The sequence below is a fragment of the Homo sapiens genome, chromosome 4 (genome assembly GCF_000001405.40).
Source record: "Homo sapiens chromosome 4, GRCh38.p14 Primary Assembly".
Lineage (NCBI taxonomy): Eukaryota > Metazoa > Chordata > Mammalia > Primates > Hominidae > Homo > Homo sapiens.
This window is the reverse complement of record NC_000004.12, coordinates 148,180,001-148,197,829: the sequence shown is the minus strand read 5'-3', so window position 1 is coordinate 148,197,829 and position 17,829 is coordinate 148,180,001. Positions and strand designations below refer to the sequence as shown.

The 17,829-nt window shown below is 38.1% G+C and overlaps 1 protein-coding gene across 10 annotated transcripts in view, besides 1 other annotated feature; it reads left to right on the top strand.

Moving 5' to 3' along the window:
- The window catches only part of NR3C2 (nuclear receptor subfamily 3 group C member 2), a 366,559-nt gene that overhangs the window by 247,493 nt on the left and 101,237 nt on the right, over positions 1 to 17,829 (top strand). For all 10 annotated transcript variants that reach the window (NR_148974.2, NM_001437655.1, NM_001437654.1 and 7 more), the window contains exon 4: positions 2,968 to 3,084. Coding sequence is in view for 9 of the 10 variants with exons in the window: in NM_001437655.1 (NP_001424584.1) it covers positions 2,968 to 3,084 (117 nt within the window). In the remaining variant the exon portion in view is untranslated. The remainder of the gene's footprint in view (positions 1 to 2,967; positions 3,085 to 17,829) is intronic.
- Positions 4,353 to 5,552: an enhancer, noted in NCBI's record as "MED14-independent group 3 enhancer chr4:149113429-149114628 (GRCh37/hg19 assembly coordinates)". NCBI's record gives its function as "activates an origin of replication core promoter dependent on BRD2, BRD4, P300/CBP and CDK7 cofactors, and independent of MED14, by STARR-seq in HCT116 cells {active_cell/tissue: HCT116}" and the evidence as "EXISTENCE:reporter gene assay evidence [ECO:0000049][PMID:35650434]".

Below are 17,829 nucleotides of genomic sequence, written 5' to 3'. Positions count from 1 at the left end.
AGGTATAATTTAAATTGTTAATGTTTACACAACTAAAAATATAAACGACAAAATTTTCTGAAAATGACATGTCTGCAACAGTCTCTTACAACTCTCCTATCCTATATGTGGAAGATGAAATATTGTTTTCGGGAGAAAATCATCCTGGGTTGTTACAGTAACAAATTTTTGAAGGGTATTTTTTTTTAAAATCCTTTTAGAACAATCCTGGCATTTGAAGGTCTCTGTTTTTGAACACCCATAGAAGAAAATCTTCCAATGTGTTCATAAGACAGTGGCCATTTTTTTCCATTCTGTATGCCTACAATCTAAAAAGTCTTAGTTACATTTACTGAAAATTCACAGAAGTGAATCTTAGACTACAGCAGACCAACCCTTATGCAAATGATTCGTGACCTTGCAACATATTGGAGGTTCCCCATAAATACTTATTGAATTAAAACAAATTTAAATTACATTTAGTTATTTCTTTGGACTTTAAAGTTTATTCAGTTCAGTGTATATTAAAGATGAAACCTGTGGTTTTATATTCAATCTCATACTATGCAAAAGGCACATAATGTCAGTTGTCAGTAGAAATGCTGGCTAGTAGAGTGTGCTTCTCTCAACATTCTGTTGCTTCTCATTTCCAAAGAGCATCTTCAATGTCTTATTAGACCAACAGTAAATTATATTGCAAATTAGTATTTAGAAAAACCTCTCCTGGCCTTGAGGCACAGCAATGTTATCAGACTTCCTAAATTATTCTTCCAACTCTACCTTTTTGGGAAGTCACTTTATCAATTCTAGTATGAGTTTCTTCTGGTGAATAGCAGCAATAATAATCTCACCTATGTCATAGGGTTGTTCTGTGGGTTAACTAACATAGAACTCTAATGTGGCATTAAAATTTTATTTTAAAAGTGGAAACCTCTCTAAGCTGCTGTACAACATCATGAAACGTTATATTTATCAGTTACCATTTTTACCATGGATATTGATTGCCTTTGTGTAATTATCTACACCTACCCATATTCATTAAGAGCCTTCCATTTTTAGAAAAGGCATTAGATTATTATAATGGCAGGGTTTCATTTCTTCACTTTGATAGATTTCCCTATTCTGTTACTATTGTTTTATTGTTATTACTAAGATTTACTATAATATTAGAGAATATACTTTAGATTAAATTATTTTAATTACATTAAGTGATGCACATTATTTTTATTGAGTATTTACTGTAATTTACTTAGTAATTCTTAAATCAAGGGAACATGATGGTACTACACTGAAGGGAGTGGTTTGGAGCCTGTTCACTACTTTGCAGTAAACAGTGGGCCTCCCTCTCTTCTTTTCAATAACCCATGACTCTTCAGGCTTCACTCTCCAGTCTATGCTCACCCACCATATGATCTCACCCAGTTTTATGGCTTAAAATCACATACATAAGCTGATTACATCTCTAGCCCAGCCCTCTTCCTAACCGCAGACCTGACACCTCCACTTGGATGCTGATCAGGCTTCTCTAACTTACCATGTCCAAGACTGAGCTGGGGTCATTCCTCATAAACCACTGGCTCCTTCTGTCTTCCCCTTTTAATTAATGACAGTCCCCTTTTTCTACTTGTTTAGCCCAAGAATCTTAAGGCCTTCTTAACTCCTCATTTCCTCTGATCTGTCAGCAAACCCTTGCAGCTCTACTTTTGGAATACATCTAGAATCTCACCACTGCCACTGCTACCACAATGACCCAGCCCACTTTCCTCTCTCCCGTAGGTTACAATAATTGCCTCCTACCCCTGGTCTCTCTACTTCTGTCCTTAGTCCACTGCAGTCAGTTTCAACACAGCAGCCAGAGTGATGCTGTGAAATGTAAATCATATCAAGTGACTCCTCTGCTCAAAGCCCTCTAGTCTAGTGGCTTCATCTCAGAGTAAAGGCCAAAGTCTTGAATATCACCTCTAAGGACCTATGTGATGTGGCTCACCTTAGCTCTTTATCTCTGTCTTTTCTTACTCTCTTCTCATTCTCTTCTGCTCATTCACCCTGGTGTCCCTGCTGTTCCTAGAACATGCCAGGTAATCAGCCCTCACCTTCCTCTCTACCACATTTGCTTTTCTTTCTTTCTGGTGTATGTTCTTCCCCAGATGTCCACACTGTTAGACTGAACATCTATAGGACTGATAGATCTATAGACCTTTATTTAAAAATCACCTTCCATGTTCCCTTCATTTTTCTCCCTAGTGCTTATTATTATCTGACATCTTACACATTTTATCTAATTACCTTGTCTATTATGTCTCCCCCAAATCGAATGAAAGTTAAGAGCAGAGGCTTTTGTCTGTCTTGTTCATCACTGTATCCCTAGTGCCTCTAGTAGTGCCTAGTACGCTGTGGGTGTTTAGTAAATATTTTTGAATAAATACTAATAAAGCTAGGCTACAATTTCATATTTTGCCAATAGATGTCACTCTCTAAGCCTGTGCTGTGCCCACATCTGATTTTTTTTAGTTCCATATTGTTTTACAGAATGAAATAGTTTAACATTTCCAATTGTATAATTTGAAAGTGAAATTACTATGAAATCCCAGTGAAGTCACATGTATAAATGGTGGGCAGGCATAGCAGCTTAAACAGCTGCAGTAGGATTTTTGTTTAGATTGGTGCTGTTGTGATGTCTGCAGGAAATGTGCACTATTGCCTGAACCTATGCAGCTATCAAAAAATTCAAATAATGGAGAAATATGGCTCTACTTATATTAGAACATGTTTGAAAATAAGTGTAATGTTATCATATGTAATCTAAAGTCTCAGCTGCATTAAGCTGACCATCTCCTCCTCTATATTATCCACAAATCATGTACTTTTACTTTTTTGAGAAAGAGATTTCAAGGCAGGAAAGAAGTAGTTTTATATTCTGAGTATACATATTAATGTTTTGTACTAGTGTACTCTATTTTAACAGTTATTTTTTATTATTTTAATCAGGGCAACACAACTATTTATGTGCTGGAAGAAATGATTGCATCATTGATAAGATTCGACGAAAGAATTGTCCTGCTTGCAGACTTCAGAAATGTCTTCAAGCTGGAATGAATTTAGGAGGTAAGTTTTGTATTTTTAGTTTAATAAAAATTGTTAATAGGTAATGCAACAGCACTAAGATCTGTGTACTCTCAAAATTGAAAACGAAGCCAACAGGGAGCAAAGGTTTCTGAAAATCTGATGAGTTCTGTTTTCATGCTAAAACATTTTAGAAGAGAAATATTTATTAGCTGGAGTCAAAAAGAGGTATGTTTTATGGCTATAGTTCTAGTGAATTTTTCGAGCCTGAGTTTGCTAAGTTTCAAGAACTAGGCACTTAACAAAAAACAAAACAAAAATGAATGACTTTTATATAAACCCATAGCTAATAGTTCTTATTGCCACGTCTGTTTAGAAATTAGACCTATATGTGATAACATTACCCACATAGAGTACATACCTAACTTTAGAAGTATGTGTAATAAAGAAAGATATATATGAAAAAAGCTTTGAAATGTTACAGTGGCTCATCAAAAGAGGAGGAGAGGGTAAAAAACTAGAACCAAATGCGAAAGTATACAACATCCATGGATAGGAAGACTCAGCATCCTCAAGATATAAATTTTCCCTAAGTTAATCTGTAAATATAGTATAATTCTAAGAAAAATACCAATTGATTATTCTAAGTTCCTAAAGAAGAGCCAGGAATATTCTAGAAAAGACAAATAATGGGAGGAACTAGCTCTACCAGATAGGAAAGCATATTATAGCTACAATAATTAAAATAGTCCGTGGTATTTGCTCATCGATTATCAGACAGATTAACAGAAGGTCAAGAAATAAATCCAAATAATATAGGAATTTTGCACACAATAAAACTGGCTTTTAAGATCAGTGGAGGGATGGGAGATTATTCAATAGAAAATACTATGACAATTGGATAACCATCTGGAAAACAAGAAAGTTGAATACCAGCTCTTAACTATATACACCAAAATAAATGCTGATGCTTCAAAGATTTAAACTTAGAAAAATAGCCACAGAAGTACTAAAAGAAAACATGAATTTTTCTTAATACTCTCCAAGTAGAGAAGACCTTTCCAAATCCCACTATCTATGGGTTTCATATTGCAGATTCAACCAACCATGAATTGAAAACATTTGGTTTAAAAGATAAAAATACAAAAATACAAAATTTAAAATACAGTGTAACATATATATATAACATAGCATTCACATTGTATTAGGTATTATAAGTCATCTGGAGATGATTTAACACATACAGGAGGTTGTGCATAGGTTATGTGCAATACTGGATTCAGGGGATCATGGTGGACAGGAGGCAGGACTAGATTGCAGCTCCAGAAAAAGCAGCATGCGGAGGCTTGCATTGTGAATTTTAGCTCCAGATCCACTGCAAGAACAAACCAGCAATCCCGAGAGGACCCACAGACCCTCTGAAGGAAGCGGACTGCTCCCGGAGGACCTGGGAGACACCCCAGTTACTGTGAGTGCCCCAACTGCAGAAGTGGGAAAGGGAGACCCTCCTCTCCTGAACACACACCCCCACTGGAGAAGCTGAAGGTCTGTTTGTGGGAGAAGTTTCTGACTTCACCTGGAGCTGAGTCAACTTAGAGAGCCCAGTGAAATACAAGGGTAGAAGAAGCAGCAGCAAGGTCCTGGGAGCTCTCTGGGTCCCCAAGCAGCCCACTCCTACCTGACACCACAGGGATCCATCGGGAGGGTGGCCAGAGGAGCAGGGGGTAAAACTCCACAAGGAGAAGGAATTCTCTAGCTGAACTTTGTAACAATTTGAACAGGGTGAGAAGCCTCCTTGCCAGAACTCGGGGGATGGCCCAAATCAGGCCTGCAGACTTCACAGGCAGGGGAAGAACTAAAGCCCTTTTCTGTGGCTGCTGGGAGGCAGATAGCCTTGGGCAAGTGTTCAAGCCCCTCTTGCCCTCTCCCTGGAAACAGACTTGGGCTGTTGGGGTGGCTCAGTGGGAGTGAAACCAGCCCTTTAGTTTGCCTGGGAGCAGGGTGAGGCCTGTGACTGCCGGCTTTCCCCCACTTCCTTGAAAACCTGCATGACTCAGCAGAGGCAGCCATAATCCTCCTTGGTACACAACTCCAGTGAACTGGGAATCTCGACCCCACCCCCCACAGCAGCCACAGCAAGACCCACCCAAGGAGAGTCTGAGCTCAGACGTGCCTAGCCATACCCCCACCTGATGGTCCTTCCCTATCCACCCTGGTAGCAGAAGACAAAGGGCATATACTCTTGGGAGTTCTTAGGCCCCACCCATCACAGTTCCCTCAGCACACTACTACAACTGATGCTTTCTGGAAATTGCCACTTCCTGGCAGGAGGCCAACCAGCACAAAAATAGAGCGTTAAACCACCAAAGCTAAAAACCCTCACAGAGTCCATTGCACCCTTCACCACCTCCACTGGAATAAGTGCTGGTATCCCCACCTGAGAGACCCATAGACAGTTCACATCACAGGACTCTGTGCAGACAACCCCCAATGCCAGCCCGGAGCCAGGTAGACTTGCTGGGTGGCTAGAAGAGAGACAACAATCACTGCAGTTTGGCTCACAGGAAACCACATCCATAGGAAAAGAGGGAGAGTAGTTCATCAAGGGAACACCCTGTGGGACAAAAGAATCTGAACAGCAGCTTTCAGCCCTAGACCGTCCCTCTGACAGAGCCTGCACAAATGAGAAGAAACCAGAAAACCAACCCTGGTAATATGGCAAAACAAGGCTCTTCAACACCCCAGAAAATCACACAAGTGCACCAGCAATGGATCCAAACCAAGAAGAAATCCCTGATTTATCTCAAAAAGAATTCAAGAGGTTAGTTATTCAGCTAATCAGGGAGGGACCAGAGAAAGGCAAAGCCCAATCCAAGGAAATCCAGAAAATGATAAAAGAAGTGAAGGGAGAAATATTCATGGAAATAGATAGCTTAAAGAAAAAAACAATCAAAAATTCTGGAAACTTTGGACACACTTTTAGAAATGTGAAATGCTCTGGAAAGTCTAAGCAATAGAATTGAACAAGTAGAAGCAAGAAATTCAGAGCTCAAAGACATGGTCTTTAAATTAACCCAATCCAACAAAGACAAAGGAAAAAGAATAAGAAAATATGAACAAAACCTCCAGGAAGTCTGGGATTAAGTTAAATAGCCAAACGTAAGAATAATCGGTGTACTTGAGGAAGAAGAGAATTCTAAAAGCCTGGAAAGCATATTTGGGGGAATAATCGAGAAAAACTTCCCCGGTCTTGCAGGAGACTTCAACATCCAAATATAAGAAGCACAAAGAACACCCAGGAAATTCATCACAGAAAGATCATTGCCTAGGCACATTGTCATCAGGTTATCCAAAGTTAAGACAAAGGAAAGAATCTTAAGAGCTGTGAGACAGAAGCACCAGGTAACCTATAAAGGAAAACCTATCAGATTAACAGCAGATTTCTCAGCAGAAACCCTCAAAGCTAGAAGGGATTAGGGACCTATCTTCAGCCTCCTCAAACAAAACAGTTATCAGCCAAAAATTTTGTATCCAGTGAAACTAAGTATCACATATGAAGGAAAGATACAGCCATTTTCAGACAAACAAATGCTGAGAGAATTTGCCACCACCAAGCTATCACTAAAAGAACTGCTAAAAGGAGCTCTAAATCTTGAAACAAATTCTGGAAATACATCAAAACAGAACCTCTTTAAAACATAAATCACACAGATCTATAAAGCAAAAAAAAAAAGTTAAAAATCAAAAAACCAAAGTACACAGGCAACAAAGAGCATGATGAATGCAACGGTACTTCACATTTCAATAATAACATTGAATATTAGTGGCCTAAATGCTCCACTTAAAAGATACAGAACCGCAGAATGTATAAGAACTCACCAACCAACTATCTGCTGCCTTCAGGAAACTCACCTAACACACAAGGACTCATATAAACTTAAAGTAAAGGGGTATAAAAGGCATTTCATGCAAATGACACCAAAAGCAAAGAGGCGTTGCTATTCTTGTATCAGACAAAACAAACTTTAAAGCAGCAGTGGTTAAAATCCTAAACATATATGCACGTAACAGTGGAGCTCCCAGATTTATAAAACAATTACTAATAGACCTAAGAAATGAGATAAACAGCAACACAATAATAGTGGGAGACGTCAATACTCCACTGACAGCACTAGACAGGTCATCAAGACAGAAAGTCAACAAAGAAACAATGGATTTAAACTATACCTTGGAACAAATGGACTTAACAGATGTATACAGAACATTTCATCCAGCAACTGCAGAATACACATTCTATTCAACAGCGCATGGAACTTTCTCCAAGATGGACCATATGATAGGCCGTAAAACAAGCCTCAATAAATTTAAGAAAATTGAAATTATATCAAGCACTCTCTCAGACCACAGTGGAATAAAATTGGACGTCAACTCCAAAAGGAACCTTCAAAACCATACAAATACATGGAAATTAACCTGCTCCTGAATGAGCATTGGGTCAAAAACAAAATCAAGATGGCAATTTAAAAATTCTTCAAACTGAATTGACAGTAATGACACAACCTATCAAAACCTCTGAGATACAGCAGAGGCAATGCTGAGATGAAAGTTCATAGCCCTGAATGCCTACATCAAAAAGTCTGAAAGAACACAAACAATCTAAGGTCACAACTCAAAGAAGTAGAGAAACAAGAACAAACCAAACCCAAACCCAGCAGAAGAAAAGCAATAACCAAGATCAGAGCAGAACTAAATGAAATTGAAACAAACAAACAATACAAAAGATAAATGAAACAAAAAGCTGGTTCTTTGAAAAGATAAATAAAATTGATAGACCATTAGCAACATTAACCAAGAAAAGAAGAGAGAAAATCCAAATAACCTCACTAAGGAACAAAATAGGAGATATTAAAACTGACACCACTGAAATACAAAAGATCATTCAAGGCTACTATAAACACCTTTACACACATAAACTAGAAAACCTAGAAGAGATGGATAAAATCTTGGAAAAATACAATCCTCCTGGCTTAAATCTGGAAGAATTAGATACCTTGAGCAGACCAATAACAAGCAGATTAAAATGGTAACTAAAAAGACTGAAATGGTAACTAAAAAATTGTCAACAAAAAAAAGTCCAGGACCAGATGGATTCACAGCAGAATTCTATCAGACATTCAAAGAATTGGTACCAATCCTTTTGACACTATTCCACAAGACAGAGAAAGAAGGAACCCTCCCTAATTCATCACCCTAATACCAGAACCAGGAAAGAACATAACCAAAAAAAGAAAACTACAGACTGATATCGCCGATGCACATAGATGCTAAAATTCTTAACAAAATACTAGCTAACCGAATCCAACAACATATCGAAAAGATAATCCACCATGATCAAGTGGGTTTCATACCAGGCATGCAGGGATGCTTTAACATATGCAAGTCAATAAATGTGATATGTTACATAAACAGAATTAAAAACAAAAAAATCACATGATCATCTCAATAGATGCAAAAAATGCATTAGACAAAATCCAGCATCGCTTTTTGATTAAAACTCCCAGCTGGGCATACTGGCTCATGCCTGTAATGCCAACACTTTGGGAGACTGAGGTGGGAGGATCACCTGAGATTAGGAGCTCAAGAGCAGCCTGGCCAACATGGCAAAACCCCGTCTCTACTAAAAATACAAAAATTAGCCAGGGGTGGTGGCGCGCACCTGTAGTCTCAGCTACTTGGGGAGGCTGAGGCAGGAGAATCGCATGAACCCAGGAGGCGGAGGTTGCAATGAGCCAAGATCGCGCCACTGCACTCCAGCCTGGGTAGCAAGGTGAGATTCCATCTCAAAAAAAAAAAAAAAAAACTCAGCAAAATCGGCATACAAGGTATATACCTTAATGTAATAAAAGCCTTCTGTGAGAAACCCACAGCCAACATGATACTGAATCGGGAAAAGTTGAAAGCATTCCCTCTGAGAACTGGAACAAGACAAGGATGCCCACTGTCACCACTCCTCTTCAACATAGTACTGGAAGTCCTAGCCAGAGCGATCAGACAAGAGAAAGAAATAAACAGTATCCAAATTAGTAAAGAGGAAGTCAGACTGTCACTGTTTGCTGATGATATGATCGTTGACCTTGAAAACCCTAAGGACCCCCCTAGAAACCTCCTAGAACTGATAAAAGAATTCAGCAACGTCTCCGGATACAAGAATAATGTACAGAAATCAATAACTCTTCTATACACCAACAGCAACCAAGCAGAAAATGAAATCAAGAACTTATCCCCTTTTACAATACCTGCAAAAAATATAAAATCAAATGTGTAGGAATATACCTAAGAAAGGAGTCTAAAGACCTCTACAAGGAAGACTACAAAACACTGCTGAGAGTGTTTTGAAAGAAATCATAGACAACACAAACAAATGGAAACACATCCCATGCTCATGGTTGGGTAGAATCAATATTGTGAAAATGACCATACTGCCAAAAGCAATCTACAAATTCAACGCAATCCCCATCAGAATACCACCATCATTCTTCGCAGAATTAGAAAAAAATAATTCTGAAATTCATATGGAACTAAAAAAGAGCCTACATAGACAAAGCAAGACTAAGCAAAAAGAACAAACCTGGAGACATCCCATTACCTGATTTCAAACTATACTGTAAGGCCATAGTTACCAAAACAGTGTAGTACCGGTATAAAAATAGGTACATAGACCATTGGAACGTAGTAGAGAACCCAGAAATAAACCCAGATACTTAGAGCCAACTGATCTTTGACAAATAAACAAAAACATAAGATAGGGAAAGGACATTTCAACAAATGGTGCTGGGATAATTGCCTGGCCACACGTAGGAGAATGAAACTGGATCCTCATCCCTCACCTTATACAAAAATCAACTCAAGATGGATTAAGGACTTAAACCTAATACCTGAAACTATGAAAATTCTAGAGGATAACATTGGAAAAAACCCTTCTAGACATTGGCTTAGGCAAGGATTTCATGACCAAGAACCCAAAAGCAAATGCAATAAAAACAAATATAAATTGTTGGGACCTTATTAAACTAAAGAGCTTTTGCACAGCGAAAGGAACAGTCAGCAGAGTAAACAGACAAGAGAGTCAGCAGAGTAAACAGATGACCCACAGAGTGGGAGAAAATCTTCTGTACATCTGACAAAGGGCTAATATACAGAATCTACAATGAACTCAAACAAATCAGTAAGAAAAAAAAATCCCATCCAAAAATGGGCTAAGGACATGAATACACAATTCTCGAAAGAAGATATACAAATGGCCAACAAACATGAAAAAATGCTCAACATCACTAATGATCAGGGAACTGCAAATCAAAACCAAAATGCAATACCACCTCACTCCTGCAAGAATGGCCATAATCAAAAAATAAAAAAACAGTAGATGTTGGCATAGATGCGGTAAACAGGGAACACTTCTACACTGCTGGTGGGAATACAGCCACCATGGAAAACAGTGTGGAGATTCCTTAAATAACTAAAAGTAGAACTACCATTTCATCCAGCAGTCCCACTACTGGGTATCTACCCAGAGGAAAATAAGTCATTATTTGAAAGATATACTTGTACACGCATGTTTATAACAGCACAATTCACAACTGCAAAATTGTGGAACCAACCCAAATGCCCATCAATCAACAAGTGGATAAAGAAACTGTGATATATACATATCACATATATCATATATATATATCACAGTTTCTTTATATATATATATATATATATATATATATATATATATATATATATATACATACATACACACATCAGTATGATGGAATACTATGCAGACATAAAAAGGAATGAATTAACAGCATTTGCAGTGACCTGGATGAGATTGGAGAGTATTATTCTAAGTGATGTAACTCAAGAATGGAAAACCAAACATCGTATGTTGTCACTGGTATGTGGGAGCTAAGCTATGAGGACGCAAAGGCATAAGAATGATACACTGGACTCTGGGGACTTGGGGGGAAGAGTGGGAGGGGGGTAAGGGATAAAAGACTACTACAAATATGGTGCAGTGTATACTGCTTGGATGATGGGTGCACCAAAATCTCACAAATCACCACTAAAGAACTTATTCATGTAACCAGATACCACCTGTACCCCAATAACTTATGAGGAAAAAAATAGATTATGTACAATACTGTGCCATTTTATATGAGAGACCTGAGAATTCATGGACTTTGGTATCTCAGAGCAGGGGATAAGTTTTCCTGGAACCAATCCCCTGAGGATGCTGAAAGATGACTATATGAAATAAACTCAGAAGCTATAAAAGCAAAAAGTTGAGAAAATGAACATTACTTACAAATCAAATATTACTGCAAAGGCCTTAAACAATATGAAACTGGAGGAAATACAACTTATAGACAAAGGGTTAATTTTTCTCACAGATAAAGAGCTCCTATAATTTTATAAGAAAATAAAACCCAACTCATTAAAAAAATGGGTAAAGGATATGAACAGAACAATTGCAGATAAAAGAAATACAATTGGTTCTTGAAACACATGAAAAGATTCTAAATCTAATCATTATAATAGAAATGCAAATTAAAAATGTAATGAGATGTTATTTTTTTTGACAAGGATAAAACATTTTTATGACACTGTTTGATGAGAGTATGGAAATAAAGTTAAACTCATTGATGATCTCCTGCATTTCAGGTGGGAGAATAAATTGGTACAACCCCTATGGAGAGCAATTTGGCTATTTCAATAAAATGTTAAAAGGCACATGCCTTGGACTCAACAATTCCACTTTTAGGAATTTATCCTATATATATTCTTGCAATGCTAGAAATGATCTCTACATTAAATACTCATTGTGGTGTTGTTAAATATCAGAAATTTATTAAATATTCATCTGTTGAGGATGGATTAAATAAATTACAGAATACTCTTCAGACATTAATAAAAATAAAGGGAACTCTGTATATACTAATGTGGACTGATCTCCCAAGTAGTATTTAGTCAAAAAAAATCAGGTTGTAAAATAGATATACAACTCATAGCATACAAAATATGCTATTTTAGAAAGCATATTGTATAGAACATTTCTGGAATGATGTATGAGATGCTAGTAGTGGTGGTCATCTCTACAGAGAGGACTTGGGTAGCTAGAAGATGCGATAAGGAAAACTAATTGTCACTGTAGATCCTTCTGTGCCTTTGAATTTTGTATTGTGATGGAAGCATGTGTTGTGTACCCATATTGCCTATTAAAAAAAAAGTAGTTCAAAAAACTAATTAAATGAGACTTCATTCTTCTTTGCTTTGATCAATGAATTAACTGGCTGGCTGATCAGGACCAGGGAGTAAACAGGACTTCCTACAGAGTAGAGCAACTCCTAGAAATCAAGAGAACAGTGAGCTTGGCCTTACTGCTAATGTGAGGACGTGCTCCAAGTACCAACACCAAATCAGAGAGAGGGCCACACTGGCTAAGGGGGCATGCCCTGGAACTAGACTGTGTGGGTGGGAGCCATTGCTCTGTCACTCACTGACCTTGTAACCTCAGGCAAGTTATCCTTTCTTTGTGCTCCAGTTTCTTTTTCCTCACATTGCATTGATCAGCATACCTACCTCTCAGACTGTGATGAGATTTGATGAGTAAATGTATGGTGAGAAGAAAGCGATTACTGAGTGTGTGTTAGTTGGCAGTGGCGGAGGTGGTGAATGTGGGGTGGTTCGTTGTGGCTTCCGTAGTGCTTTCACACATTATCTCATTTTATCCTACCAACCTCTGAATCCCCAGCAAAGGCATTATGGCCCCATGTTTTGGTAATGGTGGGCCTCTGGTGCCCAGAGAAGTTAAGTGGCTTGCCCAGGCAGTGAGATAATTAAACTAGATTTTGAACTTCTGAGCTCCTTTTCTGGTGTCTCTAGTGCACCACCATGTCCCCTTGTCTGATATTGGAATCATTGCAGATGTGGCCCAAAAGATTACCCTCTGTAGTATGTGAGTGAGAATCAGGAGAGATTATTAATAATTTAAAATCTAGATGACACAAGGGTACAGCCATTGGTTGTAAAGTAAACTCAATCTATTTTATAAAATCCATCAGTTGATTTTTTTAAAAAAGCACTTGCTAGGAAGGTATGTTTTAATGTATCTTTATATAATGTGTAGAGTACTTTACAAATAATAGCATATATTACATAAAATATATAAATATTGTTGTAAATATGTATATGAAATGTATAGTCTTATTCACGCTGTAATATATGGTTACTATTGGTTACTATAAAAATAAAATGCCTATCCTTATCATTCTTTTTTTTTTCTTTTGTGAGACAGAGTCTTGCTCTTGTCACCCAGGCTGGAGTGCAATGGCATGCTCACTGCAACCTCCGCCTCCCGGGTTCAAGCGATTCTCCTGCCTCAGCCTCCCGAGTAGCTGAGATTACAGGTGCCCGCCACTACACCAAGCTAATTTTTTTTTTTTTTTGTATTTTTAGTAGAGTTGGGGTTTCACCATGTTGGCCAGGCTGGTCTCGAACTCCTGACCTTGTGATCCGCCCACCTTGTCCTCCCAAAGTGCTGGGATTACAGGCGTGAGCTACCGCACCCAGCCTATCCTTATCATTCTTACCTCATAGGGTGTTCTAAGGATTAACTCAGTCAGTAACTTAAAACAGGATTTCTTAATGTCTGCACAGTTGACATTTTGGGCCTGATAGTTCTTGTTGTAGAGGACTGTCCTGTGCATAGTAGGGTGTTTATCAGTGTCCCTGGTCTCTACCTACTAGATACCTGCGGCAGTTCACTCTCCTCCAGTTGTGACAACTAAAAATATCTCCAGACTTTACCAAATGTCCCCTTGGGGCCATGGAGCATTACTGGTTTAGCAATAATAGTAAGAAATTATTAGGTATTATTTTCTGTTGAACTATACATTCCATCAGAGGAGGAATTGTTTTTTATTTGTTGCCTTATCCTCGGTGACTGCAACAGTACAGGGCACAAAGTTTGGTGTTCACTGGCTATTGATTGAATACATGAATAAACAATTGGCATTTTTGAGGGCTTGCTGTGCTCTGAGCACTCTGCTGAGCCCATTATATGCACTGTCCCACTTAAACCTCACAGCAACACTATGAGATACATACTCTTCATGTGTCCATTTTACAAGCGAGTTAATGGAGGCATGGAGGTTAAAAATCATCATCACTGGTCATCAGAGAAATGCAAATCAAAACCACAGTGAGATATCATCTCACACCAATTAGAATGGCCATCATTAAAAAGTCAGGAAACAACAGATGCTGGAGAGGATGCGGAGAAATAGGAATGCTTTTACACTGTTGGTGGGAGTGTAAACTAGTTCAACCATTGTGGAAGACAGTGTGGCGATTCCTCAAGGAACTAGAACTAGAAATACCATTTGACCCAGCTATCCCATTACTGGGTATATACTCAAAGGATTATAAATCATGCTACTTTAAAGGCGCATGCACACATATGTTTATTGCGGCACTATTCACAATAGCAAAGACTTGGAACCAACCCAAATGTCCATCAATGATAGACTGGATTAAGAAAATGTGACACATATACACCATGGAATACTATGCAGCCATAAAAAAGGATGAGTTCATGTCCTTTACAGGGACATGGATGAAGCTGGAAACCATCATTCTCAGCAAACTATCATAAGGACAGAAAACCAAACACCACATGTTCTCACTCATAGGTGGGAATTGAACAATGAGAACACTTGGACATAGGGTGGGGAACATCACACACTGGGGCCTGTTGTGGAGTTGGGGGCAGAGGGGGAGGTATAGCATTAGGAGAAATACCTAATGTATATGACGAGTTGATGGGTGCAGCAAACCAACATGACACATATATACCTATGTAACAAACCTGCACGTTGTGCACATGTACCCTAGAACTTAAAATATAATAATAATAGTAATAAAAGCTTGCCCAAGGCCACCAAGCCAGGAAGTAGCAGAGCCAGAACCTAGATCTCTGTTGCTGGCAGCAAAGCCTATGCCTGGCCTCACTCAGCAGGTCCCCTGTAGGCAAAGTGGCTCAGCTATCTTTTAAAAACAGCCATGGTACAAGTGTTTAGCTGGCATCTGCAGTTATCTATAAGTGAGGTTTGGCACGGTATGTGATACAAAATTCACATAATTTGTTACTGTTTTCTGCCTATACAGGATAGGTTTTATGGGTTTTGGTAAAAAATCTTGCTGAAAAAAGCTCACTCTGAATCTTGAGGTCCTTTAAAAAAGTAGGTGAGTCAAAAATGGGCAGAGTGAAAACTGGTATTTATGAAAGCAATATTTACTTTAGGTTTAAGTTATAATTTAACCACTTCTGGTTCATGAATTAAATAATTAACTTTTATTAGTTGTCCAGTTGTGTACATTGTAATTTTTTTTCTTTTATGATTTATTTCGAAGTCTTGCTTTTAGTTTCAATTTGGGAGAAAGAAACACCAGCAATCTTACACTTAAAAAAGAGAATGTGAAGTTTAACTTCTAATGTGAAGCAATTTCTAAAATTAAAAACATGAATTAAAACCCTTTTATGCATGTCTCGATCTCACCGCTGTTTTCTTAGCAAAGCAAAGTGGTCCAGTTTCTTTTACCCGCCTTCTTCTTTACTATCTCTTTTGAGGCATATGGCAACATAGCGTAATACTTGGAAGACCTTTTCTTTTAGCAAATGATCATGACTCCTGGAATAAAATCCAAAATACTAGAGAATATTTTTTTCCTATCTGATTAGTTGGTTAGCATGTAGTCCTAATCATGTCCCCAAACTGGCCTCTCCTTTACAATGTGGGAGGAAGGAAGAATAAAGAGTGCATAGATTTGTATCTCTCAGAAATTAAAGCTATAGAATGTGCCTCTTCCCATTTCTCTAGACCCACTCCCTCCCTCCTGCCACTAGTACTATTCTTTTTCCTTAAAATCCTGCTGGGCTGTAGGCAGCATGCAAAGGAAAATACAGCAGAAGATGTGAGAATGTCAACAGATAAATTGAAAGGAAAATAACAGTTCTTTGACTCTAAGCTGAGCCTGCCACTCTTGCTATAGCCCACATTAGTGGATCTAAAAAAGCCCCGTGGCTCTCTGTACATGAGAATTTTCTGCTTTGTGTAGCTTTTTTCAAAGGAATTAATTCACTTCACTTTTACCAGTGTTCTGAAGGGAGTGGTCTATACATGCCTTTTAGAGCTTTTCCTAAAATATGTAAAGCATAGCACTAAATTTAGCCAGCCGTTAGACCAAGAATGAGTCCTTTGAAGGGTTTCTAGCTTGACTGCCCCCTGGCCATAGAATATAGAGGGGATCATAGAGTTTTTCCTATTCCAGTCCTCCCATTTTACAGATAAGGAATTTGGAGTCCAAGATAGTATCATTAGATACTTGAAAAATACAGTGTAAGGATCCTAATTAGTCCTCTTCCCTTCTTTCTAAACTACCCCTCTCACTTCACATTTCGATAGGACTTGAAGTCCTCTTTCACATTCCTTTAGTGAAGACACTAAAATACTAAAATCATGCTTCCTGTAACTTTAAAAAGGTAGACTTTACAAGCCACAGCATATTTCTGAAACTGGTTCCTAATTCTGGTTCCAATGTACTTCCAACAAGTATCTGTAGTTTTCCTTAATCTCAGAAATCACTGAGTTTAGCAGGATCCTGTAAAGGTGGCCATATCACGTTCCCCCTTTCCCTCCTAGAGTGGGACACGTCACAGGAAAAGCGAGAAGGATCTAAGACACAGGAAGCAGGAGCAACAGCAGACATCATGGTTGCTTTTGAGGGTTGGAGAGAAGGCAACTAGGGGAAGAGGGAAGGGAAACAACGCCAATACTGGGAATCATTCACTAAAACAGATGCTCTTGTACATTACTGATAACAATGGAACCACAGTGGGGAAAACACTTATATTAGAATACATCCACATAATGCAATATTAACGGGCCAATAAAATTATGGCCATGAAAATTTATAACAACATAGAACAGCTTCTGAAAAAAGAAACTAATAATACAAAATTAGTATGCAAAATTATTTAGGTCACTTACTCTGTGATTACGACCACACTAAAAGGTTTGCATGAGTCAAAAGACTAGAAGGAAATGTTAGAACACCAAAGATGGTTTGCTAGTGAAGTAACATTATGACTGCATTTTTTTCTTATCTCCTTTCTAGTTTATTAATAATATGAGCATATTTTATGAAATTTAAAGAAAAAAGCTCATAATTTTGAACTAAAAAGAGAAGCATTAACACTAACAGTGTTAGTAAGCAGAAGAGATAAAGACACACAGATGGCCAAAGGAGTTATCCCTGAACAGGAAGGAGGAAAAAAGATTTTTTAAAAAAGCCATCAGTAAGTTACCTGCTGTGCAATACTTTTAAAAACTGAAATGTAGAAGTGAGCAGAAAACAAAAGACCCAGAGACCAAAGAATTAAAGAATCATGACTGCCACACCAAACCCAGAGAGAGATCTTTTTACTTGAAGAAAATTGGCTTTACCTGCCAGCAACTTGTTACAACTAGTTGGCATGGTCACCTGCAAAACTCACAGTGTGGGTCTGGTGAGAGAAATTACAGGATCAACACCAGCAAGAGAATAGGTTTAATATCTGAAATCCAATAAGAGAAACAATTTTTATGTCTTTAAAGGGTCTCCCAAGGCAGGATATGCAGTAGTTGTAGAAGTTTAGAAAGCCCAAGTGTATTGAGTTTTATAAAAGAGATACTATTCCTC